Here is a 16,742-nt window from a genome sequence, read left to right as displayed (position 1 = left end):
AACAGATTCAGAGAGAAAAAATATATTCCCAATAAAATATGCCCAACTCTCCAGACAGTGGTGTCATTTTCAGCTTGATATGATAACATGTTTGTGACCTTCAGACAGCATAAATATGTGTGCCATCTCATGTGCAATTCCTTAGAGATCCAGCTTGGTTCTTTTCCAATGTCTCCGTTTGGAGTTGTACTGATTTTATCACCAGTTTTCATCCCAATCCAATGGGGAATGGGACAATTTCACTTTTGTTTCTTGACCAGGAATCGCTTAATCCTGAAAGTCTTGTGAGAAAACATGGCAAGAAGAGGAGTCAAGCACACACCGTGGTGTCAGAGAAAGGAAGAGACAAACATCTCCATTTCTTACCTGCTCTTTCTGACACCACTACAGTGGGGACCTGGAGTCTCATCCAGCCTCAGAAGGGTGGAATTCTAGGCTCCCAACATGGCCTGCGAGGGTGGGATGAGTCCACTGTTTTTGCTCTGGTGTCTGGCTTAAGTAATTAGTATCTTAAAGTTTTCTCCTTTGCTTGGCCACCCCTTTCCTTGTCGTTTGGTGAAGGAAAGCAGGCTTTCTTGATTGTTTTGTTTGTTGCTCTTTGTCTGCACCTACAGGTGTTTTCAGTTACTGGTTTCTTCAGCATTCAATTCAGGATACAGGAGGTAAAAAGAAAATCCAGGTAACTCTCTGTTGTGGCATTCCTCGGATCCCAGATTCCCTAGCTATTCTACCTTCTCCCCACCTCTCAGCTTCTTATGTTCATTCTATGCAAAATGTCCTGGATTTTTAGTTTCGATGACTTGGAAGAATATGGAAAAGTAGGGCTGGGCGTGGTGGCTCATGCCTGTAATCCCAGCACTTTGGGGGACTGAAGCAGGTGGATCACCTGAGGTCAGGAGTTCGAGACCAGCCTGGCCAACATGGTGAAACCCCATCTCTATTAAAAATACAAAAATTAGCTGGGCATGGTGGCACATGTCTGTAATCCCAGCTACTCAGGAGGCTGAGGCACGAGAATCACTTGAATTCAGGAGGCAGAGGTTGCAGTGAGCCAAGATCCCACCACGGCACTCCAGCCTGGGTGACACAGCGAGACTCCATCTCAAAAAATAAAATAAAATAAAACTAAAAATAATATGGAAAAGTAGGTCCATTCTGTCTTCCCAGAAGTGTAAGCCCTGTGCTGTTGTTATTTTTACATGTCCTAATTTCCTACTAGGCTCTTGAGTAAATGTAGACTCAGAGAGGTTAAATAATTTGTTCAATATTATACTGCCAGTGATTCAGCAAGAACTGGATACAAGGCATTTGTCAAAAGCTCACCCTCTTTTTCATGACCCTATACTGCTAAATAAATGTTTACTGGAAGAATGAACCAATGAAAGCAAGTTCCCTTCCTTAGTCACAATAGTTCTGTGATTTTTGTTTTAAAACTCAGGATATAGTGATGTATTTCTCGTTTTTTATCATGATCAAAAATGCTTGAAGTCTAAGAGCTTAGAAACCACTAGTCATTGCCATTTAGGAAATTTCCTAGAATCCAACTGTGTGGTTTCTGCCAATAATTTAGGTTTTATGAACACTGGTTGTACAGTATCGGGCTCTGCTCACCTCTCAACCTGTAGACTGAGACTCACGTGAAGTTATCAGGAGAACTAAATAAAGAAAACTGCAGGGGACTGTAAGTGAAAATATGAGAGACAAACTAATCCTCAACACTCTTTAATATAGGGCTTTCCAGATGAAAGCAGTAACAAATGCTGTAAGTGTGCAAGTTCCTGCGATGGTTGATCTTACGTGTCAATCTGGCCAGGCTATGGTGCCTAGTTGTGTAGTCAAACAGTAGTCTAGATGTTGCTGTGAAGACTCTTTAAAATGTGATTAACATTTATAATCACTGGACTTTTAGTAAAGCTCATAAATGTCCATGGTGTGGTGAGCCTCATCTAATCAGTTGAAGGCCATAAGAGCAAAATCTGATTCCTCAAAGAAGAAGGAATTTTGCCTGAATTTGCAGCCTGCAGGCCTACCCTGTGGATTTAGGACATGCCAGTCTCCACAGTACTGTGGTGTGTGTGTTGCCATATATGTATCTGTGTGTGTGTGTGTGTGTGCACATCTGTATGGAGAACCCTAATACAGCACCTTACACAGCACACAGTACCTGGTCTGTAAGAACAAGACAATAAATTTTAGCTGAATCTGCATCAGCTTTCTGTTTATACTGCTTTAGAAGTATCCACTCATTATTTGAAGAAGTGTGTGTTAGATGCTTGCCTTAGGCAGAACATTATATGTTCTCCAAAGGTATAAAATTGTTTTCTTTCCTTAAGTAGTTTCCAACTTTTTGTTTCCAAGGCAACAAAAAACATTGTCTCATTCAGTTTTCTGTTGCTATAATGGAATACCAGAGACTGGGTAATTTACAAAGAATAGAAGTTTACTGGCTCCAGGTTCTAGAGGCTGGGAACACCAAGGGCATGGCAGCAGCATCTGGTGGGGTTCTGTGCTACATTACCCCATGGTGGAAGGGCAGAGGGCAGAGGGCAGAAGAGGAAAGGCAGAAGAGAAAGACAGCATGGGAGACAGCAAGAAAATGGAGGCCAAAACTTATCCTTTTATCAGGAATCCACTCCCACAGTAAGTAACCCACTCCTGCAATAATGGCATTAATCCATTCATGAGGACAGAGTCTTCATGACCTAATCACCTCCTAAAAGCCCTCTCTCCCAACACCATTACATTGACAACTACATTTCAACAAGAGTTTTGGAGGAGACATCCAAGCCATAGCAAACATATACTATGAAACTCTAAATAAGGAGAAAAGGTAACAATTCACAAGAAGTCAGAGGTAGCATGTGACTTTCCAACCAAGGAGTGACATTGCCCAGTCTTTAGTCAGGACTTGAAGGGATGCTGTCACCTGGATCAGAGTTTCCAGTGAAAGTTTTCTAGGGGAGACGGGTGACAAGTTTAATTTTGCAGAATGAAAAAAAACTTAGATATGTGGTTAAGTAAAGGGTGCATTCCAAGTAACAGGAGCAATGAGCCTCAGGAGAAGGGTGTGTTTGAAGGAGTAATAGGAGATGTTGGAAGCAAAGGTTGGGATAAGGCTTTGCTTTTAGTGATTAGATGAGCAATTCACATGAATGTAGCTAGATTGGGGAGAGATGATGAGGAGTGGTGCTTATCAACAAACACTGCCCTAAGGGCTTTCAAATTCAAATTTTTAAAGAACCCTAAGTTAGTCAAATATTAATAAAACATGTCTACAGGCTAGATTTGATCTTCAGGTTACCTGTTTGTGGCCTCACTTAAAGACTTTGGATTTACAAAATGAGTTATTTGTTCTTTAGGTCTTGGAGAGACCTGAAATGACCTAGCTCAATGGCTCCCAAGGTATAGTCTGTCAACTCTTGGGGGTCGCCAAGACCCTTTCAAAGTGTCTGCGAAGCCAAAACTATTTTTCTGGACGTTATTTGGACTTTCCATTGTGTTAACCCTGACAATGATGGTGTAAACACAATGCTGGGTGAAACTGCAGTGACTTAGCACAAATCAAAGTGAGGCCAAACTGTATTAGTAGTCAAGGTACAAATACTTGCCGGAAAACTAAAAAAGCCAGTTTCACTAAAGAAAGTCCTAGTGAATCAGAAAAAAAAAAAAAAAAAAAAAAAAAAAAAAACACGTTTAAATTTTTAAATCTCCACTCTTGAGTACACAACTTTATAACATTCCGTGTGATAAGATGGGAAGTACACATCACGTACTGCAGCTACATAATAAAGTAGGATGGTTACCTTGAAGGAAAGGACTTGTGCAATTATTTGAGTTGTGAGCTAAGCCACCTGCTTTTTTCATGAAACACAATTTTTACTTGAAAGAACAACTGACAAATGGTGATTATTTAGGTTTGCGTATTTGGGAGTTGAAGGAGTTTGGGAAATGCCACCCCAAAATATGTCACTTTGGTGTGCTGATTACTTCAAACTGAAGGCACCAGGGAAACGGCAAATGCAGGGAGGGGCTGTCTCTGAACTCCCCTATCTGCCTAGAGACAGATCCTCCAAAAGGAATTGAACTGCCATCTATCTCATCCCCAAGGAATCTCATCGACTGAAGAAGATTGACTCCTATCACAGGAGAGGAGAGTAGAAGTTGATGCCACACACAGGCTTTGTCACAGGCTGTTATCTCCTCTTCTAACCCCATCTTTTACAAAAGTAATTTACTGTCCCCTAAGTTGCCTACATCTCTCCTACCCTCTCTCCTAAGAGGAGGGTATGTAAGTTTCTAGATCTCACTGGGTTTGAGGGTATTCACTTTTCTTTCCTTTGATGTTCCCACGCACATAATACATTTGTATACTTTTTCTCCTGCTAATCTGCCTGATGTCTGTTGATTTCATAAACTCAATTATCAAATCCTCAGAGGAAGGGTAATGGGAAAATTTTCCCTCCCCTACAGCAGGCTTGTCCTGAAAATGAATAAGGTAAGCCTGTTACTTTAAGGGAAACAGCTGACAGGAATTAGTATTTGTTGCTAATGATTACATTTAAGTTTTCAAATGAAAATTAAAATTTTGGAAAACTTGTATCTGCTACCATGAGCTTGATGACTTCCCAATGCTTAAATTTTTTATAAGATTGGTGGTACTATCAATAAATGCAATTTTTAATATATAATGAAACGTGGAAATATTTGAAAGAGTTGCGTTATTCAGTAAACTAATATTTTCCAAGTGTCTGGTACATAATTTTACACAATCAGGCATGAGGAAAAGATCCATCCAAAGTACAAACTAGACCAATTAATTTTAATGTACAGTTAACAAATTTATTGAAATGGTTTCAGAATCTACATTGCAAAACTTTTAAGAAGCTACCAATTGTTGAGTTCGAGGGTAGTATCAAAGTAGCATATCTATAATTACCATAAAAATGTATTAAAATACTCCCTTCCCTCAAATACTATATGCAACTGGATTTTAGTCATCAACTTCAACTAAAACAAAATATTTCAGCAGCATGAATATCTCAAGTCAAATAGATATGAGAACTCTTTTGTCTTCTAAGCTAGACATTACAGAAATTTGAAAAATGTAATGTCACTCTTCACTATTTGTGTTATAGTTATTTTTCATAACAAGTGTTATTTATTTTAACCTTTAATGGGTTTACTCTCGGTATTTTTAAATGACTTAGTAAGTATACTTCAAACATTTTTCTGTTTTAATTTGTAGATACGATAACTATCAAAAGGTATAACTCACCAAAAAAAGCTCGTGTCATTCTCAATAAGTTTAGAAATGTGAAAGGTTCCTAAGACCAAAAAGTTAGAACTGCTGGTTTGAAGATGAATGCCATATTTAAAGAGATATTCATCTTAGAATGTAGAATGGATTTCATGGAGAAATCTGAAAAGAGCGAGGAGGCTGTTGAAAGTGTCAGAAAAGAGGTACTTGGGTCCAGACTCTAGTCTGGTGTAACTATGGAAATAAAGGACTGCTGTGGGAGGCAGGGTAGAGGCAAAACCCTTAGCATCAATAATTGGTGATGGGTGGGGGGAGAGAGAGAAATAGAAGAATCTAAATGACCCATATTTTGAGACTGGTTATAACTGCGAGAATGGTAGTGTTGGAGCATTAGCTTAGGTATTTTAGTGACTGGTAACATAAAGGAGTAGACAGATTTACTCAATGACAAGCCTGGATGCTGGCAGTCCCAGGGCTGGTTCTGCAAGTCCATAATTTCTCAGGATCTTTCGGTGTGCCACATACTGGCCACATCTCTCTCCTTATTGTCATGGAGGGATCCCACTGTTTCAAGCATCTACATCTTTACAGAGAGATAGACGTTCAAGAAGTGAACAGCACTGGAAAGAGTAAATACATGTATAAATTGTAAAATCTATTGTTTAAAAAAAGCTATAAACATGTTTCATGAAGTTGATAATTTATGTAGAATAAAATACATGACAACAAAAGCAAAAAAGGAAGGGATGGTAAATGGAGTTAAATTGTTGCATGGTTATCAGACCATTGGGGAAGTGTTAAAATACTAATTTAAGGCAGACCATAATAAGGTAAGATTGCATTCTGAAATTTCTAGTGTAATGATGAAAAGATTGATACTAATCTTTTATAGCAAAAAAATAACATACTAATAGATAAGATAGAAGTGCATTATAAGATAAAGTATACTATAACATTTTGTTATAAGTATAACAAAATCCTAATGGATAAGATAAAACAGAATATTTTTTAAATACCTGATTAATATAATGGAAGGCAGGAACAGAGAAAAAAGAAAATAAATTTCAGGACAAATAGAAAACAAATAGCAAAATGATAAACAAACAAACCAGATCAGTTATATATTATTATTAAACATAAATGGACTAAATACACCAATTAAAATACAAAGTGAGTCAGCTATTTTTAAAAGCCCAAGCTATATGTTATTGGCAATGAACATATTTCAAATATACATTTATAGATAGGATGAAGTAAAGAGATGAAAAAACATGCAAACACATATCAAAAGAAATCTGTCATGGTGACATTAATAATTAAAATATAAATAGACTTCAAAGTTAAAGATATTCTGAGAGATAGATTGTAACATTTCGTAGTGGTAAGTAGGTAAATTCAAAAGGAAGTCATAACAACTTTAACTTTGTATGCACCTAATATTATAATTTTTAAATATATGAAACAAAAGTTTACAGAAACTAAAGAGAGAGATGAATCCACATCATAGTTGATATATTAACTTACCTCTCTCAATAACTAATAAAATAAACAGACAAAACAAAAGCAGTCAGCCTCTTTCCCCACCCATCACAGCCATTGCCCAGTGGGCTCATGAACAAAGTAGCCATGGTGGCAGGAATGGAGGCTATGCATGGGCTCAGTCACATGGACTTCCATTCACCAAAGGTGACCTGGCTACAGCATCTGCTAAGTGCCCAATTTACCAGCAGCAGAAACTAACACTGAGTCCACAGAATCACATCATTCCCCAGGGAGATCGATCAGCCAGCCTGCCTGGTGGTAGATTGATTACACTTGGGCAACGTCCATCATGGAAAGGGCAGTGTTTTGTTCTCACTGGAATAGGTTCTTACCCTGGAAATGGATCTGCCTTCTCTGCACACAATGCTTCTGCCAAAACTACCATCCATGGACTTATAGGATGCCTTATCCACCATCATGGTATTCCACCCAGCATTGCTTCTGGCAATACCTTGCAGGGCTAGGATAAGGTTCTCCAGGAGGCTGTATATGATCCGAATCAGTATTTAATATATGGTGCTGTTTCTATGACAGGTTCATGGGTAGGAATCAGGGGGTAGGTAGAAATGGGAGTTGTACTATTCCCTATTACTCCTATTCACTCCCCAGCAAAATTTTTGCCTCCTGTTCCTGTGAACTTCTACTCTGTTGGCATAAAGGTCTTAGTTCCAAAGGGAAAAAAGGCTTCCACTAAGAGACACAAAAATGATTCCAATGAACTAGAAGACGGCTGCCCCGCCACTTTAGAGTCCTCAGGTCTCTGAATGAGTAGGCAAATAAGGGAGTTACTGTGGTGATTGGGGTGGTTGATTCTCACTACCAAGCAGAAATTGGAGTACTACTCCACAATGGAGGTAAGAAAGAGTATGTCTAGAATACAGAAACTCCTTTAGGACGTCTCTTAGTGTTACCATGCCCTGTGGTTAAAGTCAATGGAAAACTACACCAACCCAATCCAGGCAGGACTACTAATGGCTCAGACACTTCGGGAATTAAGATTTGGATCACTCTACCCTGTATAAAAACACAACCAGCTGAGGGTAAAGGGGATACAGAATGGCAGTAGAAGAAGGTAGCTGTAAGCACCAGCTATGATCATGTGACCAGTTCCAGAAACCAGGATTTTTAATTGTTATGAATATTTCATCCTTATTTTGTTATGAATATGTTTGTTTATGTGTGTGTATATTTAGAAAATATCTCATTTCTTCCCTCTCTTATCCTCTTATTGACTTTTTATCATAGTATTTAAGTATAGTCATGTGTTGCTTAATGACAGGGATATGTTCTGAAAAATGCATCATTAGGTGATTTCATTGTTATGCAAACATTGTAGAGTGTACTCACACAAACTTGGATGGTACACCTACTACACACCTAGGCTATATGGTACAGCCTACTGCTCCTAGGCTACAAACCTGTATAGCATGTTACTATGCTGAATGCCGTAGGCAGTTGTAACACACTTGTCAGTATGTGTATATCTAAACATATCTAAATATAGAAAAGGTAGAGTAAAAATACAGTATTATAATCTTATGGGACCATTGTTGTATATAAGTTTTGTTCTTGACCATAAGGTCATTATATGGTACATGACTGTATTGTTAACTTTACATCATAGTATTTAAGTTGCAGGCTATCGAGAGGCATAAGCATCACCTGAGGACGTTGCATACTCTTTTGGGGAGGGAGTTAGTGCATTTTTGGTTGTATGCAGGACAATTATGATAGGTGAAAGATGGCCTTGTTATCATCTTTGTTTGGAAATTAAGTATGGTTTAAGGAGATGTGTATAGCTGCCCAGATGACAAGGGGTGGACTTGCACTGGCTAATTTTATAGTCAACTTGGCTGGGTCACAGTGTCCAGTTATTTGGTCAAGCATTATTCTGGATGTTTCTGTGAAGGTGGTTTTTGTTGAGATTAACCAAAACTGATAGACTGGGAGTAAAGCAGATTACCCCCCATAATGTGAGTGGGCCTCATCCTGTCGGCTGAAGGCGCTCAATAGAACAATGACTGGCCTCTCCTGAGCAAGAAGGAACTCTGCCAGCTGACTGCCTTTGCAACTTGGACTGACATTCTCCCCCGCGTCTCTAGCCTGCCAATCTACCCTGCAGATTTTGGACTTACAAGCTTCCACAGTCTTGTAGGCCAATTCCTTAAAAATAAATCTCACTGTATATACACATCCTGTTGTTTCTGTTTCTCTGGAGAATTCTGATTAATATGCTAGAAAACCTTACTGAAAGAAATGAAAGAAGACCAAAATAAATGAAAAGATGTTCCATGTTTAGAGGTTGAAAAGTTCGTATTGTTTAGATGTCAATTCCTCCCGTATCTTTTGATGAATTCAGATATAGCTAAACAGTTTTTTTAAAGAGATGAAATTGAGAAGCTGATTTTAAAATATATATGAAAAGACAAAGGACCTGAAAGAAACAGAATACTTAATGAAGAAGAGCAAAGTTCAAGGATTTCAAGAATTCTTTTGAAGCTACAGTAGTTCAGATAGACTGGTATTAGAGGAAGGATGGACAAAGAGAACAGTGGAATAGAACAGAGGATCCAGAAATAGACCCACATGTGGTTTACCACGAAGGTGCTGCTGCTATTCAGATGGAAACAGATGGTCTGGATAATAAACAGAGCAACTGGATACCTGTATGGAAAAAAGAAAACACCTTACCCATATCTTACCCTAAAAATGAAAATTAGTTTAAGTTGGGTCATATACCTAAATGTGAAAGCTAAAACAATTCTGGAAGGAGATAAGAGAGAATGTTTTCATGATCTTGTTTTTCTGAGGTCTTGCTCTGTCTCCCAGCTTGGAGTGCAGTAGCACGATATTAGCTCACTGCAGCTTCAAACTCCTGAACTCAAGCCATCTTCCCACCTCAGCCTCCCACCTCAGCCTTCCAAGTAGCAGGGACTACAGGTGCATGCCACCACACCTGGCTAATTTTTTTTTATTTTCTGTAGAGATGGGGACTCACTTTGTTGTTCAGGCTGGCCTCAACCTCTTGGCTTCAAGCAATCCTCCCACACTGGCCTCCCAAAGTGTTGGGATTATAGGCATTAAGCCACCATACTTGGCCTTCATTTTCTTAATGGACTTAGAAGAGCCTTTTGTAAAACTTGTTTTTACAATTTCTTTTTTAAAAAATCTAAATTGCATAATTGACAAATAATAATTGTATATATTTGTGAAGTATAATGTGAAGTTTGGAGTGGCATGATTAAATCAAGCTAATTAACCTGTCCACCACATCACTTATCATTTTCTGTGGTGAGGCATTTGGTATTTACTTTTAGCGGTTTTGAAATATACAATACATTAACTATATTCACCATGCTGTGCAATAGATCTCAGAAGCTTATTCTTCCTATGTAACTGAAACTTTGTACCCTTTAAACAACCTCTACCCATTCCCCTTCCCCCATGCCCCAGCCCCTGCTAGCCACGATTTTATTCACCATATCTACGAGTTCAACATTTTCAGATTACATATATATAAGTGAGATCATGCTGTATTTGTCTTCCTGTGCCTGGCTTATTTTGTTTTTTACAGGTTCATTCTTCACTGTGAACTCAGAAGTTCACTGCCCCATTGATCTTGAGAAAAATGAAATGTGTGCCATGCTGCAGGAAAGTTAGGAAGGCCTTGGGGTGGATCTTGACAGGCTCATGTTCACCCTGCACATGACTTTGCTTCCCTGCCTCCTAATCTCCGACCCACACCTCATTCTCTTCTCCCTAACCCCTCCCCTATTCTATGTGCCTCAGGGTACAATAGCCTCATGCCCCCCTACAGGAGCTGGCTTTGATTCATCTAATAGGATTTATGCGATCCCACAGCCTGATCTTACCCCAGTGGCTGGCCCTTTACCCAAGTCTATGGCATTCCCTGGATGAAAAACTTGCTTCGGAAATGGGCCTATAGCCTGATTTTGGCCAGTGTGATGGAAGCGGGGCTGTAGGCACCTTCTGGGTAGTGTAGCTCCAGACTTTAAGTCTCTGGAACTACAGAAGCCATTTTGCCGTGGTTCAGAGGGCAGAGGGACAGAAAGAGCCAGTCCACGGGGTCATTGTTGAGTCATTGGATGAAACCCACCCTGAAGACTCTACCAGTCAGGATGAGCAAGAAGATGGGGTGATCTCAAACCATGACCTCAGCATCAACTCGCAAAAGTTAGTTTCTCACTCATGGCCAGCTGTGGGCCTGCGTGGGCTCCAGGGCTGTGCTCCCTGATGGGTGGCAGTGCATTCCAGGCTGTCCTGTGCACCTTCATATCAATGTGTGACTCCACGATGACCTGCCATGGGGAGAAAGGTGGAGACTTACACCCTGGTTCTTAATGCTCCCCCAAAGTAACACACATCATTTTTATTGTTGGTCCTGAAATATGCTTAACTCCAAGGGGTCTCACGTCTGGGAAGGAGATTTTGCAAAGTGCTAGGAATGCCTATGTAGGAGTGAAGGAGAAACTTCCCTTTGGCCCTCTGAAGGCTTGCTGAAAATCAACTGACGAAAGGCAGATTAACAGAGAAAAAAGACAAACAAATGTATTAATGTGCACAGGGGACAATCACAGAGTGATCACCCACTTACTCGGTGCCCTACAGAAGCTCATTTACCCTTTCCTAGGGGTGGAGGTGATGGGAAATGTAGATGATCTTTTGATGGGCAGGAAATCATTAGGGAAGATGAATGGACCCCAAAGGCAGGAGGCAGATGCTCTGGGAAAGTGGGGTCAGAGCTGCACAGGAACAAAGGTTGTCTTATTCTGCAGGTAAAGCCCCCCAGGTAATCTCTTGGAGCTGCTCTTAGAAGAATAGATGAAAAGTCCGTCTGGGCACAGTGAGGACTCTGAGTCTTTTCTCTTCTGTGCTTGATCGTCCTGCTTCTTTAATGAGATTCCTAAGGAGGGAGTCTTAAGACAATTGCATTTAAGCTTTCTTAGATAAGGAAATTCTAGAGAAGAGTCCCTCTTGGTGCTTCAGGAAAGAGTATCAGGGAGACAAAGAGGTGGGGAAAAAGTCAGAGAGAAACCTTGACCCTAAGGCTTATTTTGGAGGCCTTTCAATTGTCAAAGCACTCCGCATGCCAAAGCGCCATATTTTGGGGAATCATTTCCTGTGCCCCAACACCTATCACTGGATCTTCCTTCCAGACTGTGATTCAGGCCAACACTCCCCTTTGTGGTTGAGGTAGCTAAAATTAGGATTTCTGTGGTTATTTTTAACCAAAAGCATCTGACATTTTAACTGAAGCAATTGTTATCATTTTCATTCAAGGGGTGAGGAGATTATCAATATGCTGGGAGCTCAGCTGGGCATGCATTTCTGGATCCTCACTCAGGGAGAAAAACTCACCGACTGTGCGATTGGCAGCAGCTACAAACCAGCACAGTCTGCAGGTCACAGTGACAAGTTTCAAATAGAAACCTGGCATCCAAAAATATACAGCTTTGGCCACGAAAGCATGGGGTTATTCCAAAGTATTCTGAGGCTAGTCTTGCTGGCGCCCACAGTGGCCTATTCTGAGGCATGTTTTAAATAAGAGTCCTGGCAGCAGGCCTCCAAGCTTCAGAAATATAAGCTGGTTCCTCTCATCAGTCACTGACTGTCTCTCCGAATGTTGTCGAATCTGGATGTTCTCAGCAGTTCAATTGTTCTTCACATTGTCCTTTGTGCGAGCCAAGGAACTGAACTTTCTAAGTAAAGATTTAAAAAGCATCCTTGCAATGAAGGTAGAAGGTCTACTGGCTGGGTTGAGCCTCTCTGCTGTCTTCAATGGCATCTGGAACTCAAAAGGCACCTGGAAGCATTTTCCACCTTCCATACATGGGTGCCAGTGTTCAGGCCTGTGCCAGGGTCCCAGGGTCAGGGTCGCCAGGCTCTGCCTTCTCCTGGGATAACTGTTGGCTCCACCCACGATACTATCAGTGCAGTGTTCCTGAGCAAACGTTCAATGGGCAGCATGCAGAAGCCACTTTTGGAATTCCCCCATATGTCTTTTCTTTCCATCTAGCTTCAGAAATATATGTAAACATGTGGAAACCTTGCTTAAAATGAGCTCAATTCTGTGACGTGCTCTCTAAAAAGCATAAATGTATAATGAGAATACATTTAGTCGTGGAATTTAGGGCCATAAAAATGACTCTCTCATCCCGACGACCTCACCTGCCCTCAAGCAGGCTATGCCCTGGCACTCGCCCATGCAGGAGGCAGGTTGGATGCCCTCATCCTCCAAGACACAGATTGGGGATGAGCCTGCAAGCTCCTGCTTCCTCCACGGAGCTGACACAGCTCTCAAAAACACACAGGGCACTGCCCACAGGGCTTCTGTGGGTCGGCCTTGGGCTCACCAATCACATTCATGCCTGATGCCTTGTTGTTCCTTTCCATTGTTACACGTTGGTAGCCCAGCCAGATCAAAAGGAGCCATTTCCATGTTAAAACACAGTCCACCCATCTGTCTTTTGCCTCTTCAGGCTACAGTTCTCGCCCCTGCAGGGACGGTCAAGGGCTCCAGCAGGTGATGTCTCTCTCTGGCCTTCCTGACTCCCCTGACCCTACATTTCAAGGACATCTGTGCAGCCCCTTTCTTATGCCTCCTCCCCTGATCACAATAGTCTAGTTCATGTCAGAGTTCCTGAGTTAAATGCCACATGAACTGTTCTCTAGCATACCAAGCTTCTTTTGTCACTGAATTTTGATAAGGACTCCCTCCTAGCCAGGCTCCTGGAACCCTCTTCTTAACTAAGCCTTGTCCTTGGCCTGCTAAGCCCAGTTTCAATCCCCACCTTTGACAACTCATCAAATTCCTCTTAGTAATTTTTCATCCATTGATCCTGTCTCCTTGCCCGTTGGCTACAAATCCCCAGATGTCATTGCTGTACTTGGAGTTGAGTTCTGTCTCTCTCCCTTATTGCGATAGTCTTGACCCTTAGTGAAATAAGGAAAATGCAAGCCTAAAACAACGAGGCAGAGAACACAAACTGATAAAGCAGCATCCGGGATCTGGCCATAAGTATACAGAATGGCAAGGGCAGATGTTTTTTAACTAGAAAAGATTCCTAATTCTCTTCTTAAAAATAAAATGAAGCCAGGAAAATAAAGGTCTTTAAAAATTAACCTGCTTCTACACACACACACACACACACACACACACACACACACACAAAGTGATTAATTTCCAAACCAGGAGCATAACACTGAAGCGGCATTGTTGTCTGGGGTAAATACCCAAGGTTTGGTGCCTCATGCCAAGGAAATCAAGGACACGGACACACGTGGAATGGGATTAAGAGTGGAACTTTCATAGGCAAAAGAAAGAGAAAGAGAAGGAGAATAGCTCTCTCTCTTGCAAGTGAGAGGGGCGCCTCAATGGGACTTCCAGCATATGGCAGAATGCACCACATTTTATAGACAGGCTTGAGAGGTGGTGTTTGATTTACACATGACCCAAAGATTGGTTGGACCCGTTGTGACATTGAGAGGTGAAGCCCGCTGGGCTTCTGGGTCGGGTGGGGACTTGGAGAACTTTTCTGTCTAGCTAAAGAATTGTAAATGCACCAATCAGTGCTCTGTGTCTAGCTAAAGGTTTGCAAACGCACCAATCAGCACTCTATAAAAACGGACCAATCAGCACTCTGTAAAACGGACCACTCAGCACTCTGTAAAATGGACCAATCAGCTCTCTGTAAAACGGACCAATCAGCAGGATGTGGGTGGGGCCAAATAAGGGAATAAAAGCAGGCCACCCAAGCCAGCAGTGGCAATCTGCTGGGTCCTGTGCGACACTGTGGAAAGTTTATCATTCAGGTTTTTGCAATAAATCTTATTGCTGTTCACTGTTTGGGTCTGCACTACCTTTATGAGCTGTAACACTCACCACAAAGGTCTGCAGCTTCACTCCTAAAGCCATGGAGACCACAAACTTCACTGTTGAAGCCAGCCTGACCACGAACCCATGGGGAGGATCAAACGACTCTATACGTGACACCTTTAAGAGCTGTAATGCACCCTGCGAAGGTCTGCGGCTTCACTTTTAGAGTCAGAAGTGAAGACTCTCCTGGAGACCAGCAAGAGGACGAACCCACCAGAAGGAAGAAACTCCAGACTCATCGGAACATATGAAGGAACAAACTGGATACACCATCTTTAAGAACTGTAACACTCACCCCAAGGGTCTGCGGCTTCATTCTTGAAGTCAGCCCGACCAAGAACCCACCGGAAAGAACCAAATTCCAGACACAACATTTACAAAGCATGCAAGAGGCTGGCAGCCCTACCCGAATGGTGTATTATGCAAATGTGGTCTGTACTGGGCCAGTGCCATGTTGCCTGCTCCCTACTGTGTATGTGATTGACAAGGAAAGGAGAAGACGGAGCAGCCACACAGAACATGTCTTCCCCACCTAGCCTTTTCCTATTGGTGCAGCTCCCAGCGTTCCCCCCCACAAGCTTCCAGCTTGCCTATGTTTGCAAAGTGATTTTAGAGGCTGCTGTTTGATAGAAAAGAAATTATTTTGGGGCGGCTTTTCATTAAAAGGAAAACCTTACCAAGGACGACTTTACCTCACTATCCACCTAAATAATTTCTTCTTAACTCCTATATCAACATCAGAGATAGTGACAGCATGACACCCACTTCCACAACCTCCTTTCCTGATAAGAATTCCGGGCTACTTGTCCAAGCAGGGATTTCACAAAGCTCTTGACAAGCCCTTGTTGAGCAGAGGTCAGCACGCCTCTCTCCAAGCTCCTGGAGCCAAGTGGGCTGTCAGCTGCAGGGTGCCCAGAGTGAGGAAAGGGCCAAGAGTGAGGAAAGAGAAGCACGGCCAAAAGTGCTGCGTCTCTCTAGGACAACTGGTATCTAAATGTGGTTTAGACATCACTGAGACAGTGATGATCGGCCGAGAAGGTGCCCACCAATTTGATTTGGGCAATGAATAACCTTCCAGTGCATATTTATTGACACATGTTTGCTGTGCTGGGCACTAATGTAGGTGCTGTGGAATCCACTGTGAGCAAGAAAGACAATTAACTGTTTAGTAAATAACGATATGAAACAACATCAGGTAGTAACGCTTCCTCTGCACCGCATGCCACTTTGCACAGAACACTCTGTTGCTCCATTTGCAAGGTTCTCAGTACTAGGCAACCTTTCGATCTCAGACCCAAAGCCTGTTCCTCAGCAGGTCTTCCCTGGTCTTCTTACTTAATAAAATGTCATGACTGTCACCACAGGCAGGAAGTATGCAACGGAGCACGGCATAAGCGGACTTATCTTGTTCCAGGAGTTCATGGCCAGGCTAAAAAGGGAAAAGCCAGGCCCCAAAGAGCTCACATGGCTAAGACGGCCCTCGGCGTTGAGGGACTGACAAGCGTTCTTCTTTTTGTTTTGTCTTAAGACTGCTTATTTCTCCGTAGAAAACCACTGAAGAGAACTCGCAGGAACTTCTGCAGACACTAGGAAGAGTTTGTGAGCCTTCAGAGCTACAGGGAAGCCGGTGACTATGCTAAGGTGGCAAAGACGAGGTGACAGGCAAGAGAGAAAGTGCCATGGAGCTGCCAGAGGGAAGCCAGCCCATGCCGCTGCTCCTTAAGGAAAGCCTCTAGTGTGTGGGGCCACTAGGGGACTACTGGGGCTCAAGACAGCCCTGTGGGAGAGGAGGGAGCAGCCCTGACGGTGGAGAGCTGGAGGGGATGGCTTTGCACAGCCAAGGCCGTCTTCTGTGTGGGAACGACTGTGGTGGAGAAAAGGACTTCAGACAGAGGCCATCATCACACCTTCCTGGAGAGAGGCAGGAACGACCACGTAGGAAGTGATCCTCTATGGCTGGAACACCCAGTGTCTGCAGTGCCCAGGAGAAAAGGTTGTCTATGTCCCAGAGAGATGTGTCACCCCAAGAGGGCTGGAATATCAGGG

The 16,742-nt window shown here is 42.2% G+C and overlaps 1 long non-coding RNA gene across 3 annotated transcripts in view; it reads left to right on the top strand.

Annotated features, from left to right (window-relative positions):
* Nucleotides 1-2,458: 2,458 nt before the first annotated feature.
* LINC02250 (long intergenic non-protein coding RNA 2250) overlaps nt 2,459-16,742 on the top strand; it is a 122,536-nt gene continuing 108,252 nt past the window's right edge. For all 3 annotated transcript variants that reach the window (NR_187215.1, NR_187214.1, NR_187216.1), the window contains exon 1: nt 2,459-2,640. This is a non-coding gene — a long non-coding RNA (long intergenic non-protein coding RNA 2250). The remainder of the gene's footprint in view (nt 2,641-16,742) is intronic.

This window comes from Homo sapiens, chromosome 15, assembly GCF_000001405.40.
Source record: "Homo sapiens chromosome 15, GRCh38.p14 Primary Assembly".
NCBI lineage: Eukaryota > Metazoa > Chordata > Mammalia > Primates > Hominidae > Homo > Homo sapiens.
This window is presented reverse-complemented; position numbering and strand designations above follow the sequence as displayed.